This window comes from Homo sapiens, chromosome 15 (genome assembly GCF_000001405.40).
Source record: "Homo sapiens chromosome 15, GRCh38.p14 Primary Assembly".
NCBI classification, from domain to species: Eukaryota; Metazoa; Chordata; class Mammalia; order Primates; family Hominidae; genus Homo; species Homo sapiens.
This window is the reverse complement of record NC_000015.10, coordinates 31,686,475-31,699,091: the sequence shown is the minus strand read 5'-3', so window position 1 is coordinate 31,699,091 and position 12,617 is coordinate 31,686,475. Positions and strand designations below refer to the sequence as shown.

At 44.8% G+C, this 12,617-nt stretch overlaps 1 protein-coding gene across 3 annotated transcripts in view, besides 3 other annotated features; it reads left to right on the top strand.

The window, feature by feature from the left end:
• OTUD7A (OTU deubiquitinase 7A) overlaps positions 1 to 12,617 on the top strand; it is a 395,276-nt gene that overhangs the window by 171,582 nt on the left and 211,077 nt on the right. For 2 of the 3 annotated variants that reach the window (NM_130901.3, NM_001329907.2), the window contains exon 2: positions 9,611 to 9,733. The exons of the other annotated variant lie outside the window; for it this stretch is intronic. The gene's annotated coding sequence lies outside the window, so the exon portion shown is untranslated. The remainder of the gene's footprint in view (positions 1 to 9,610; positions 9,734 to 12,617) is intronic. 3 annotated transcript variants of the gene reach the window in all.
• Positions 1 to 12,617: part of a biological region, named in NCBI's record as "distal CHRNA7 low-copy repeat recombination region", that runs on past both edges of the window. NCBI's record gives its function as "recombination_partner: LOC106736476".
• Positions 1,258 to 1,398: a non allelic homologous recombination region, noted in NCBI's record as "sub-region 3', recombines with sub-region 3 within the distal CHRNA7 low-copy repeat recombination region". NCBI's record gives the evidence for it as "EXISTENCE:nucleotide sequencing assay evidence [ECO:0000219][PMID:20506139]".
• Positions 4,955 to 5,051: a non allelic homologous recombination region, noted in NCBI's record as "sub-region 2', recombines with sub-region 2 within the proximal CHRNA7 low-copy repeat recombination region". NCBI's record gives the evidence for it as "EXISTENCE:nucleotide sequencing assay evidence [ECO:0000219][PMID:20506139]".

Genomic DNA, 12,617 nt, shown 5'->3' with positions numbered 1-12,617 from the left:
AAAAAAAAAAGTATTAATCACTGCCTTTCATAGTTTGATGCAGAATGTCTCGTACTTCAGCAAAGCAGCTCAGGCCAATTTCAGACCTGCTGGAATTAACCCTCCTAGCACATCCCTCTACGAATGTTATCTCAGTAAGTCCTTATTACCATCCTGTTAAATAGGTGCCATTACTCTTATTTTTAAGAAGGGCAATGTGATGCTCAGAAAGAGTAAGTACACTGCCAAAGCAACACACCAGGAGAAGGGAGGCGGGAACTGATTCTGTGGGACAGGAGGGCAGATGCCTTCACAACAAGAGGCCCCCGGGTGTGTTTGAAACAAGCTGGGAGTAAAAAGGATTAGAGAGGAGGAGCTTGCAGGTATGAGAGCAGCAAAGGGATAACTGTGAAAGGCGGGTCTCCTGAGAAATGAGAACAAATGTGCTCCTGAGACTGCTTAAGAAGAAAGAGAGAAGATGAAGCTATTAGCAGAGGCTGGGGCCCAGGCCTCGGTAGCCTTTAGATGAGTGGTTCTCCACCCCAGAGGGCTGGTGCAAACACAGCTTGCTGGGCAGTGCCCCCACTTCCAACTCAGCAGGTCTAGGTGGAGCCTGGGAACTTGCATTTTTAACAAATCTCCAACAATGCTGATGTTGTGGGCCAGGGGCCTCACTTTGAGAACCACTGTTCAGGCTTGTCAGTGCCACATGGGTTGGGTGAACTGGAAGGAGAAGAGCTGGGGTGGAGGGATGACTCTCTGGGACCCCTCTTGCCGGTCTCTTTGCAGAAGTATCAACAGGTCATGATACCAGGGAAGGAACATAAATAAAAGGGACCAAGTTGGATAAATGCCAGGGTATTAGAGTAAAATGTGTTTCAGCTGCTTAGCTTTGATGTGAAAATTTGAACAAATAACCAGAGAATAAGGGACTGTTTCCATTCCTAGTTTGAAAAAAATTATATTTAATAAAAGATGGAATTGTCACTAGCATAATTTTAACGATTTTGAAATAGAAAATATCCTTGGAGGGGAGGGAAGGGTTAGGAAAGAATGTGTGTAGTTGGAGGAAGGAACAATGCTTGGCTGCTGTCCTGGTGGGAGTCAGTGAAGCTGCCTGATGAGCAGTAGCAGGACCATGGGCTCGATTATCAGGGAATGACTTTTTAGATGGCGGAGATGCCTCTGGGGCTTCAGGAGCTGTGGAGATAAGGTGACCAGTGTCTTCAAGCTGGGATAAAGCATTGTTCACATCTCAGCACATTTCGAGAAGTGGCACAATGCTAACACAGCGCATTGGCTTTGCTGTTCAGGTTGCAGGTGACTGGTTGTGTGACCCTGGGCAGGTTGTCTCACTCCTCTGGGCTCAGGACAGGTGGTCTTTAAGCAGGTGTGCATGCTAGCTAGCCCCTGCAGCGCGGGGTTGTTGTGAAAATGTAATGATAGAGAATATGGCGCATGCCTGGTACGAGGAGACACTCAGAAATGTCCTCTTCTGCTTCAAGGTCAGGTAGAAGAATCTTTTCAATTTCACCTCCTGAACCCCAAGTAGCTCTAAGTCTCATTCTTCTGAAACCCTTGTCTTCTGTGGCCCCTGAGCCTAAAACCACAGATGCTGGGTCTTTGTGGCCCCCTGGAGGCCAGGCTTCAGGAGGACCCTGGTCACAACCCGAATGGGATAGCAGCCTAGCAAGATTCAGCAGACAGCATGCGAGTAAACAGATTAACAGGGTGATTGCTAACGCCACAGAAAGTAATGTGGGTGAGTGAGTGAAAGCAAAGGTTGAGAAACATCATTCATAAAGGGCAGCCAAGGAGGGCCTTTCTAAGGAGGTAGCAGCATTAAACCTGAGGGTGAGGAGGGGCCGCCTGGGGAAGGAGGCAGGTGGAGGGGAGGAGTCCACTCGGGAAATCCCAGGTCACCTGGACATGTCACTGGGCCCTGGGATTGGCGTGCAGGTCAAATGCAATGTTGGTTGTGCTTAGGCAATTGAAAGCAAGTAGAAGCTAAAAAAGGGATGATTTATCTTGGTTCTGAGAAGTTGGGTTAACAGTGAGGTCAGGAAGCAGAGGTGAGCAGCCAGCACCCTCTTTCTCTTGGGAAACTTGAACACATTTTAGAATTATAGTTCCCCCAGGGAAGAAGTTAGCAGAGGCCACCCCACACCCAGGACAGGTGACAGAGCAGCAGTCTCCTCTCCCTGACCTTGATGCCTGGGCACAAAGGCAGCTTTTGCTGAGCAACAAGATGCTTGGACTCCCCACTCCTCCTCTATTTTCCTCTCCTGGCTGCATTTGCCCTGAAAGGCTGCAGACACCTAGCCCCAGGCCCTCCAAGTGGGCACCCACCCCCATCTGGGTGACAGAGGCTGCTACTCATGGGAACTCCCCTAACTCCCTCTGAGTCCCTCTGAGTCATCTGGGTGGTGGACCAGCAGCCGTTGGGTCTGACCTCTCACCAGGACGCGTGCCTCTGAGCACTGGGACACAGGCCCTTTGAGGTCTCTCTGGAGCTGAAGGGCCGGCTCGCACACTGGGATGGAGTGGAATATGTGTGATATGTTGGTGAGGGATGCAGGCAGGTGTGGGAGGAAGTGGAGCAGGCACAGTCCATGGAGGACACGGGGCCCGGGTGCAGAGGCACACAGGCATCATCTAGATGGTGAGAAGGCGATGGGCCCAGATTCTGCCCTAGTGCAGGGAAGGCACCAAGATTTCAGATCAGAGGGAACTGCAGGAGAGCTGCAGAGACCCTCTCCCTTCAGCAGATTTAGGTGCTGCCTGTGACTTGCCAGACTGGCAGTCCCCAGCATGCTGCCAGCAGGCACGCTCAAAATGCGCTTCTGGCCTGAGCCCTTGCTGGCCTCAACACGCCAGCGGCTGCCCCTCTGTGGAGAGGAGTTCTCTGTAATGATGCTGCAGGGACAGCCCATTCTGCCTGTCCACCCCCAGCCCCTTGTGCCCCCCTCAACCCTGTGCCCTGTCACTCACACCCACAGCTACACCAAATCCTTCCCCAACCCCCTGCACAGGGGACTCCTTCGTGTGCAGGCCACCCACCCCCAACCCGTGTCTGCACTGGAGGTTCTCTGCGGAGAATTCTCCTCCGTGGGGCAGTAGAAGGACAGGCCTGTGTGTGCCTGAGCCCCTCTTCCTCAGGTGTGTGTGAGAGAATTTACCTGAGAGAAGTTAGCAATGCCTGCCTAGTGAAGGCCTGGCACAGAATAGGCCCTCAGCAAACACCAGAGACCTCTGCCCTCCTTACCCTTCTGGGAACTCTTATTTAGAGTTTAAGGCCCAAGCCAAGTATCTCCTTCTCTCTGAAGAGTTCCCTTTCCCCGGAGGCAGATGACAAGGCAAGCCGTGACTTCCCTTGGACGGGGGCTGCTCTGCATCTCAGGCGTTCACCAGGGAGCGGGCTGAGCTGCGGGTGTCGGTCTCCAGGTCTGTCTCCTGTTTCAGATTACAGGGCTCTTGACGGCAAAACCACTCAACTTTATTTCTGCCTCGTGGCCTACACCTCCTAGCATAGTAAGTGCTCATTAAAATGTTGCTGGTTTGTGCAGGATCTGGATTTTATGCAAATGAATAATAAACTAAAGTTTTGCTAGCTGACTACAGTGAAATATCAATCACTTCATGTCTGTTTGGATGACTGTTACCCACAAGAGAAGAGATACGTGTTGGTGAAAGTGTGGAGAAAAGAGAACACTAGTACAGTGTTGGTGGGTATGTAAATTAGTGCAGCCATTACGGAAAAAGTGTGGCGGTTCCTCAGTAAAATAAAACTAGAACTACCATGTAATCCAGCCATCCCACTGCTGGTATATAGTCAAAGGAAATGAAATCAGTACATCAAAGAGTTACCTGCACTCCTATGTTCACTGCAGCACTCTATCCACAATAGCCAAGACATGGAACCACCCTGTGCTCATCCAAAGATGAATGGATAAAGAAAATGTAAAACATGGCCGGGGCGGTGGCTCACGCCTGTAATCCCAGCACTTTGGGAGGCCGAGGTGGGCGGATCGCAAGGTCAGGGGATCGAGACCATCCTGGCTAACACGGTGAAACCCCGTCTCTACTAAAAATACAAAAAATTAGCCAGGCGTGGTGGTGGGTGCCTGTAGTCCCAGCTACTCAGGAGGCTGAGGCAGGAGAATGACGTGAACCCAGCAGGCGGAGCTTGCAGTGAGCCGAGATCGCGCCACTGCACTCCAACCTGGGCGACAGAGCAAGACTCTGTCTCAAAAAAAAAAAAGAAAATGTAAAACGTGGTATAAATACACAATGGATAATATTCAGTGATAAAAAGAATGAAATCCTGTCACGTACGGCAAGAATGAACCTGGAGGGCATCATGTTAAGTGAAATAAGCCAGGCACAGAAAGACAAATACTGCATGATCTCACTTATGTGTGGAATCCGAAAAAGGTGAACTCACGGAAGCAGAGAGCAGAATGGTGTTGGCCAGGTGCTGGGGGAGGTGGGGTGGGTTGAGATGTTGGTCAAAGGATACAAATTTCATTTAGGCAGGATAAATAAGTTCAAGGGATATATGGGGACTATTATAACATGGTAACTATTGTAACGATGTATCCTTAAAAATTCTTGAAACTTGCTGAGAGTAGATAATAATAAAGTAAACTGGTGTTACAAAAAGTTTTTTGGTTGAATGATGAGCAAAGGTTTCCCGGGGGAAGGGGGCTTGAGGGGATCTGGGCTTGTGAAGGGTGGAGGGGTGTTATGACAGGGAGAGGGAGAACTGAATGAAAAAAGACAGCAAAACCTAGGTAGGAGTGGGGGACAAGGAGAGCGGTAAGAGCCCAGGATCCAGGTAGCCTGAGGGAGGAGGCCCCCAGCCGAGGGATGCCAGAGAGCATGCCAGTGCCTGTTGACCCTTCACACACCTGCGCTGCGTGGGCCCCCTCCACTGGCTCTGTGAGGGCAGTGTCCTGGCTTCTGAGCGCCACTCTGGGGTCACTAAGGTCACATGGCACCCTGCTGGGTAGCTGCTGCTCATTTTGTACCTGCTGTTTCCCAGCAGTCAGTCCTGGAAGCATCTCTGGTCCTGTAGTCCTGCCTTCATCTTGAGCCCTTCTCAGTGCCTTGTATTTTTACTTTACAATAGTGTCAGCTTAGAGCAGTGAATCCTTCGGGTCCCTGGAGCATCTTCAGAGGTCCCTTTTCATCTTCACCAGGACCTTTGGAACAGCCCAAGTCCCGTGGTGATGCAGGGACAAAGCAGCTGTGGTGGCTTTTTAGACCATAGGCAAGTAGGGGACATGACTAGTACTGATCCCAGACCTGGGGAAGCCCGGCTGATGGGTTTCCCGTGTGTGCTGGCCTTCAGTGACACCAAGGGGCTGGATGGAGAGGAGGATTCAGCTAGAACAGCCTCTTTGGGCTTTCACTTGCACCTTACAGACCTGGGTCTCTGCTCTCACCTGGAGCGCCCCAGACACGCGGTGTGTCCACAGCGTTAGCACACTCCCTGGGCCCGCTGTCAGCCCTGGGGGCTTTGAGAAGGGTGTGTCTGCCTGGCATCACCACATCCAATCCAGCCACATTCTGCATTTCAGAGCCAGAATACAGGTCTAAAATGCCTGTTTTGTTTTAGAAACTACTGTTCTCCCCAGGATTAAAATGTGCAGGAAGCATTCATCCCACCCTTAGTTTAGCTGATAGCCTTACCCCCCTCCCTTTTGTTTTGTTGTGGATCTGAACTTATTTTACCCAATGGCTATTTTCTTGCATTTCCCTCTAGAGGTATTGGCATTTCGAGAAGCACTTCAGCCTTCCAGATCTTTACATAATTCATTACGGACATATTTTGGACTTACAGTATCTTAGAGTACAAAAAAAAGAGACTCTCCTCTTTATTTCCAGAAGTTGTTACAGACTTCTCCTGAATTTAAATTTCCTGAAAATTTTTCCTGGACATGCTGTAAGTTTTTATTCCATTAGGGAACCATAAACAAAACCACTTACCAGCAGGCCTGAGGCAGAGATGAACACCTGGCCTGAGCATCTCTCCTGCACCTTCCTGAGAGACAGACCGAGTGATCACTGTGTGAATTAAAGCCCATTTCCTAGAAACTCACTCTTCTCTTGAAGCTTTTAGGAAGACTAAGAGATAAAGCCATCCACCAAGAGATAAAGCCAGGAAAAGTGTCTGTCCCAGTGCAAGTGTGTGAGGGTTGTTAGTGGTGGGGATGGGCATCCTTCATTCTTTCAGCCAGGGGACTGCACGTCCGTGGAGTGAACACCCCAGAGGTGGGCAGGGGACCAAGTCCAGCATGGGAGACAGGACCCCTGGGTCAAAGGCTGTTCTTAGGTAAGCTTCGTGACAAACATGGCATTTGAGCTGGGTCTTGAGTGGAGCCAGGAGAAAACAGGAATTTTGAAAATTCCTGAGGGAAAAAATGTGAACAAAGAAAGGGACCCAGGAAGTAGTTTATTGTTAACTATAATTTTCCTACTATGGTATCAAATACAAGAATGAATTTCTTCTATCCAACTGCATGTTGGTGCCCATTAGTCAACTTCTCTTCCTCCCCACTTCCCTTCCCAGCCCCTGGTAAACACTGTTCTACTCTCTACCTCTTTGAGACCCACTTTTTTTTGCTCCCACATTTGAGTAAGAACATGTGATATTTGTCTCTCTGTGCCTTGCTTATTTCACTTAACATGATGATATCCAGTTCCATCCATGATGCTGCAAATGACGGGATTCCATTATTTTTATGGTTGAGTAATATTCCGTTCTGTGTATATTCCACACTTTCTTTATCCATTCATCCATTGATGGACACTTAGGTTGATTCCACATTTCAGCTATTGCAGACAGTGCTGCAATAAACATGGGAGTGCAGATATTTCTTCAATATACTGATTTCCTTTCCTTTTAATATATACTCAGCCGTGGGATTCCTGGATATGTGGTCCTTCTATTTTTAGTTTCTTGAGGAACCTCCATACTGTTTTCCATAATGATGGTACTAATTTACATTCCCTTTCTCCACATCCTTACCAGCATCTGTTATTTTTTGTCTTTTTTATAAAAGCCAATTCTAACTAGAGTGAGATGATATCTCATTGTGGTTTTAATTTGCATTTCCCTGGTGATTAGTGATATTGAGCATTTTTTCATATGCCTGTTTTCTGTTTGTATGTCTTCTTTTGAGAAACATCTATTCAGGTCATTTGCTGATTTTCTAATCAGATTATTTGTTTTTTTGCTATTGAGTTGTTTGAGCTCCTTATATAATCTGGTTATTAATCCCTTGTCAGATGGAAGTTTGCAGATATTTTCCCCCTTTCTCTGGGTTGTCTCTTCACTTAGTTGTTTTGCTTCCTGTGCAGAAGCTTTTTAGCTTGATATAAACCCATTTTTCTATTGTTGCCTTTTTGAGATCTTATGCAAAAATCTTTGCCCAAACCAATGTCCTGAAGTGTTTCCCCAGTGTTTTCTTCTGGTAGTTCCATAATTTTAGGTCTTATATTTAAGCCTTTAATCCATTTTAGAGTTGATTTCTGTATATGATGAGATGAGGGTCTAGTTTCATTCTTCTGCATATGGATATTTGGTTTTCTCAGCACCATTTATTAAAGAGACTGTGTTTTCCCTGGTGTGTGTTCTTGCCACCTTTGTTGAAACTGAGTTGGCTGTTAAGTGTGTGGATTTATTTGTGGGTTCTCTGTTCTGTTCCATTGGTTGATGTGTCTGTTTCTATGCCAGTACCATGCTCTTTTGGTTACTATAGATTGGTAGTATCATTTGAAAACACAACCATGATGCCTTTAGCTTTGTTCTTTTTGCTCAGGATCACTTCAGCTGTTCAAGGTCTTTTGTGGTTTCATATGAATTTCAGGCTTTTTTCTGTTTCTGTGAAGAATGTCATTGGTATTTTGATGGGAATTGCATTGAATCTGTAAATCACTTTGGTTAATATAGACATTTTAACAATATTAATTCTTCTAATCCATGAGCATGGGATATCTTTCCATTTTTTCAGGTTCTTCCTGTTGAGTTACAGGGGTTCTGTATATGTTATGGATATTAATCCCTTATCAGATATATGATTTGCAAATATTTTCTGTCATTCTGTTGGTTGCCTTTTCACTTTGTTGATAATGTCCTTTGGTACACAAAAGTTTTTAATTTTGATGAAGTCCATTTTATCTATTTTTCCTTTTGTTGCCTGTTCTTTTGGTGGTGTCATACCCAAGAAATACTTGTCAAATCCAGTTTCATAAAGCTTTTCCTCTGTATTTTCCTGTATGAGTTTTATAGGTTTAGCTCTTACATTTAGGTCTTTGATCCATTTTTAGTTAATTTTTGCATACAATGTTAGGTAAGAGTCTAACTTCATTATTTTGCATGTGGATATGCGGTTTTCCCAGCACCATTTATTGGAAAGATTGTTCTTTCCACATGGAATGGTCTTGTGGAAAACCTTTGGCCATTTATGCGAGGCCATGTGTGGCACCCTTGTGGAAAACGATTTAACCATGTATTTGAGGATTTATTTCTGGTCTACCTTGTGTGGACTATAAATCTGTCTTTATGCCCACACCACATGCTTTGATTACCATAGATTCATAGTATGTTTTGAAATCAAGATGTGTGAGACTTCCAACTTTATTCTTCTTTTTCAAGATTGTCTTGGCTATTGATTCTGTTCTTTTGCATTAGAAGTCAGAAAATTTATTGCCTACAAAATCATTTTGAAAGTACTACTCAAGCCTTCTAGTAAAATTAAAACTTAATAAAGGACCAATGAGAGATATGCAAATTATTCGTGATCAGTTAGCAAACACCAAAACACAGTTGTGTTACAAGTAATAATATAGAACTGAAGCTTAAAGTAGTTGTTAAGAATTATGATTCCTAAGAAAGTAGAACACAAAAATCAAAAGCAATTTCAAATCAACATTTTAAATGATTTCAACAAAATATAGCAGGTATCAGAGGAAGAGATGGGAATTAGATTGAACTAGGGACCTTATCCTATGTGGAAATTAGAGGTTGTATATGTTATTTGACTGAGTAAAAATTAAATTTTATGTATAAGTTATTAGATAAAATAAATGGCCTCAAAAGGTAAAAATATACAGACATCTGCTGACCTAGGGGATGCCCAGTCGAGATGGGGTGTACCTGGTTCCACTGTGTGGAACATGAACAGCCCCCTCACTTTGAGGTTCCCTGCAGATCACACCCCCAGAACTTCTCTCCCAGAATCTTAGAAGTCAGAGTTCAGTGTTTGAGCCCCGCTGAGAAGCACAGTCCCCTCCCCTGGCACATCAGCTTCTAGGGGCTCTGAGCCCACCCTCACGTCTGTTAAGTCCACACGGATGAGACTTTTCCCATTGATCCTCATCTGTCTCCTGATGGGACATTCATTTGAAAATTAAAGGGTGGGATCGTGTGTTGGGAGTGGGATTCAGGGCTGTGGGATTCACCAGCCAATTTCAAATGCATGTTAAATATTTAAAATCATTTAAAAATTTGAAACATTAATATTTAATTTTTAAACTATAAAAAATTAATCCTAAAATTGAAATTGTTAATTCTCACTTCCCATGAAGTGTGAACATTCTCTTTTATTCTCATTGTCTTTTCCAGAGTTCTCAGGCGCTGTGGTCTCACCTTCCACTGGGGCAACAATGGGCCATTTCCAGCAGGGACGGCGCAGTGTTGGCCTGCATGCCTGACTGCCACACACCTCCAGAATCAGGTGTCTGAAAAGTAAGTCCTGTGTTCGTGGGGTCTTAGTGGCAGGCCAAAGGGGCAAGTGCAGTCACCGCCTCTGACAATAGAGCTGGTAGTGGTTCTGTGGACTCCCTGGAAATCAGATCTAAAGCCCAGATAAAGTGTAAGGTTCATTGAGAAAGAGTCATGAAATGTATTTCATACTGCATTAGAATTTGAGATTGGAATAATAGGCATTATTCTTTAAAAGGAAAAAAAAAACAACTGTAGTGATTGACAAGTGACTTGATTTATACCAGTGCAAAATTTGTCATCTGTTGCAACCATTATTGATTTTTTAAATATTATAAGCAAAAGAAAAATAGTGCCATTATCTTAACACACTAATTATTTTTACTTTTACTGTTTCCTGTTACTTCTTATCCAATAATACAATTTTAATCTGACTGAGAGCATAACCATTCTTTTGCTTTATGACTCTTGGAACAAAATTTTTATATACCTTCTTGCCTACTTTTTATTTTATAAGCTTTAATTCTACAGCAAACTTGAAGGAATAGAAAAGTGAACACCCGTAATTCTTCACCCAGATTTACCAATTGTTTATACACAAACAGACACACACAGGTGGTAAATATGTGTTTGTGTGTGTTTGATTCTTTTTGTCTGAATCATTTGAAAGTAAGTTGCTGACATCATGAGACACTCTGGCATCATCTCCTAAGTACACAGCTACCTTCTACAAAAGTATAGCACTATTACCACTGTGAAATATAATATCGATAAAGTGATATTATCCAAATATGTTGTCCCTACCCAGATACCCCTGATTGTCCCCCAAATATTCATCATAGCTGTTTTTCCCTGCCTAGTGTTCAATTAAGTATCACTCACTGAATTCAGTTACGCCTCTTTTTATCTGAACTAAAGGCCTGCTTTCGTTTTTCTCTTTCGTGATGTTGACGTCTTTGAAGAGTCTGAGCCACTTGTTTTATGGAGTGCTGCACAATCTGGACCTGTCTGATTATTTCCTCATACTTAGATTCAGATAGACATTTCCTCCATTTCTCTTTCCAGCACATCAGTGGGCACACCGTGGCTCATGGTGATAAGTTTGTTCACTGGGCTAAGGTCATTTCTACAAGAGTTCTCTTTATAAAGTTACTTTTTTTTTTTTTTTGAGATGGAGTCTCGCTCTGTCGCCAGGCTGGAGTGCAGTGGCACGATCTCGGCTCACTGCAACCTCCACCTACCGGATTCAAGCAATTCTCCTGTCTCAGCCTCCCGAGTAGCTGGGACTACAGGCGCCCGTCACCACGCCCAGCTAATTTTTGTATTTTTAGTAGAGATGAGATTTCACCATGTTGGCTAGGATGGTCTCAATCTCTTGACCTCAGGTGATCCACCTGCCTTGACCTCTAAAAGTGCTGCGATTACAGGTGTGAGCCACCACGTCCAGCCTGTAAAGTCACTTTTTACATTCTTTGTCTTTTACTAGTAAGCAATGGGGCAAACTTTGAAGCCCTGTGAACATTCTCTTCCCTGGCTGATTTTCATCCAGTGATCTTAGCATCCCTTGATGGTTGTTATTATAATTTTTAACCCATTAGTTTATTGGGACCTCAGACTTTCTTTGTCACATAGTCCTTCATGTTTCACATTTTCTGTGGTTGTGGGGTCATCACACAAGGGAGCATATACTGAGGTGGTCAAGAGGAGGACTCTGAAGTTAGACCATTCAGATAGGCATCTAGGTATGCATCTTGTCTCTGTCATACAACAGCCAGGTGACTGCGAGCAAACATTTCTCCTCACAAACCTTCAGTGTCCTTATAATTACAATTAGGAGACTGGGAGTGACCATCGCAGGAGGCATATGGTAGAGGGTACAGCCTGTGGCTGGCCTTGCTAAGCAGTAGCTGTTAATTATTATCAGACACAAGACACATGGGCGAGAGCCACTGGATGCTGCTTTTATTCCTGAGATCTCTTATAAGACCTTTAGCAAAAATGCTAATAAATCTGAGTGACAGAGCAGAGGCCCCACGCTCTGTGTCCCTGCAGTTAAAAGGTTGCATAGGGAATGAAACCACTATGGCAGGAAGTATTCATCAGCGAACACTGTCCCGATGTGCACTCCCCCATCGGCTTCCTCCTCCTGCTCTCGGTCAGCCTTAACTGCCTCCCCTCGCTAGGCCTGAACCTCCCTAGTCTGTTGTCGGTTTGCCTTTCAGTCAGTAACCAATTGGGCTTTTATTTGAAGATTATGTGTGGTTTTTTTTTTTTTCTATTTAAATCAAGTCCTTTTAGTTTTATTGGCATCCCATTGCCACAGAATGCATCTTCCTTGAGAATGTTTTGAAAATTTTACCAAGAAAACAGTTTGTGAAAATATAGGTTATTTTAGAAGCTACACACGAATATGAATTAGACTGAGTCTTCAAAAACATTGCTGTTGGAAAACATGTTAATATCTTAAAAATACTTCCTCTGAAAAGGTTACTTGCCTCATTTTCTTCCCCACAACTCTTAAAAGCAGATGAGAGCTGGTGCTCACAGAGAAGACCGCTCTGTGTCCTGCATCCAAATGACATGCTTTCTGTTGGCTTCTTGTCGGGCTGAGCTTGAAGGGATGGCCCTGTGGGGTTCCTCTGCTTTCTGGGGCAATATCAACCCAGCCAGCCTGGGGTTTGCCAGGACCGGAGGACTCTTCTGGTGGGCTCCAGCCCCAGGCTTCCCTGAAGCCTTTCCACATCTCCTTTTTCCTTCTTACCAGCTGTTTACATGCCAGGAATCCTTGCTTGTCTCCTCGTCCTCTGGATCTGCTCCTTGGAGATGGGACTGTGTCTTTTCTGCTTTCCCAGGAGCAAACCCAAAGGTTATGGGAGGAGTGAAGTGCAGGTGAAAGCAAACCTCTGGT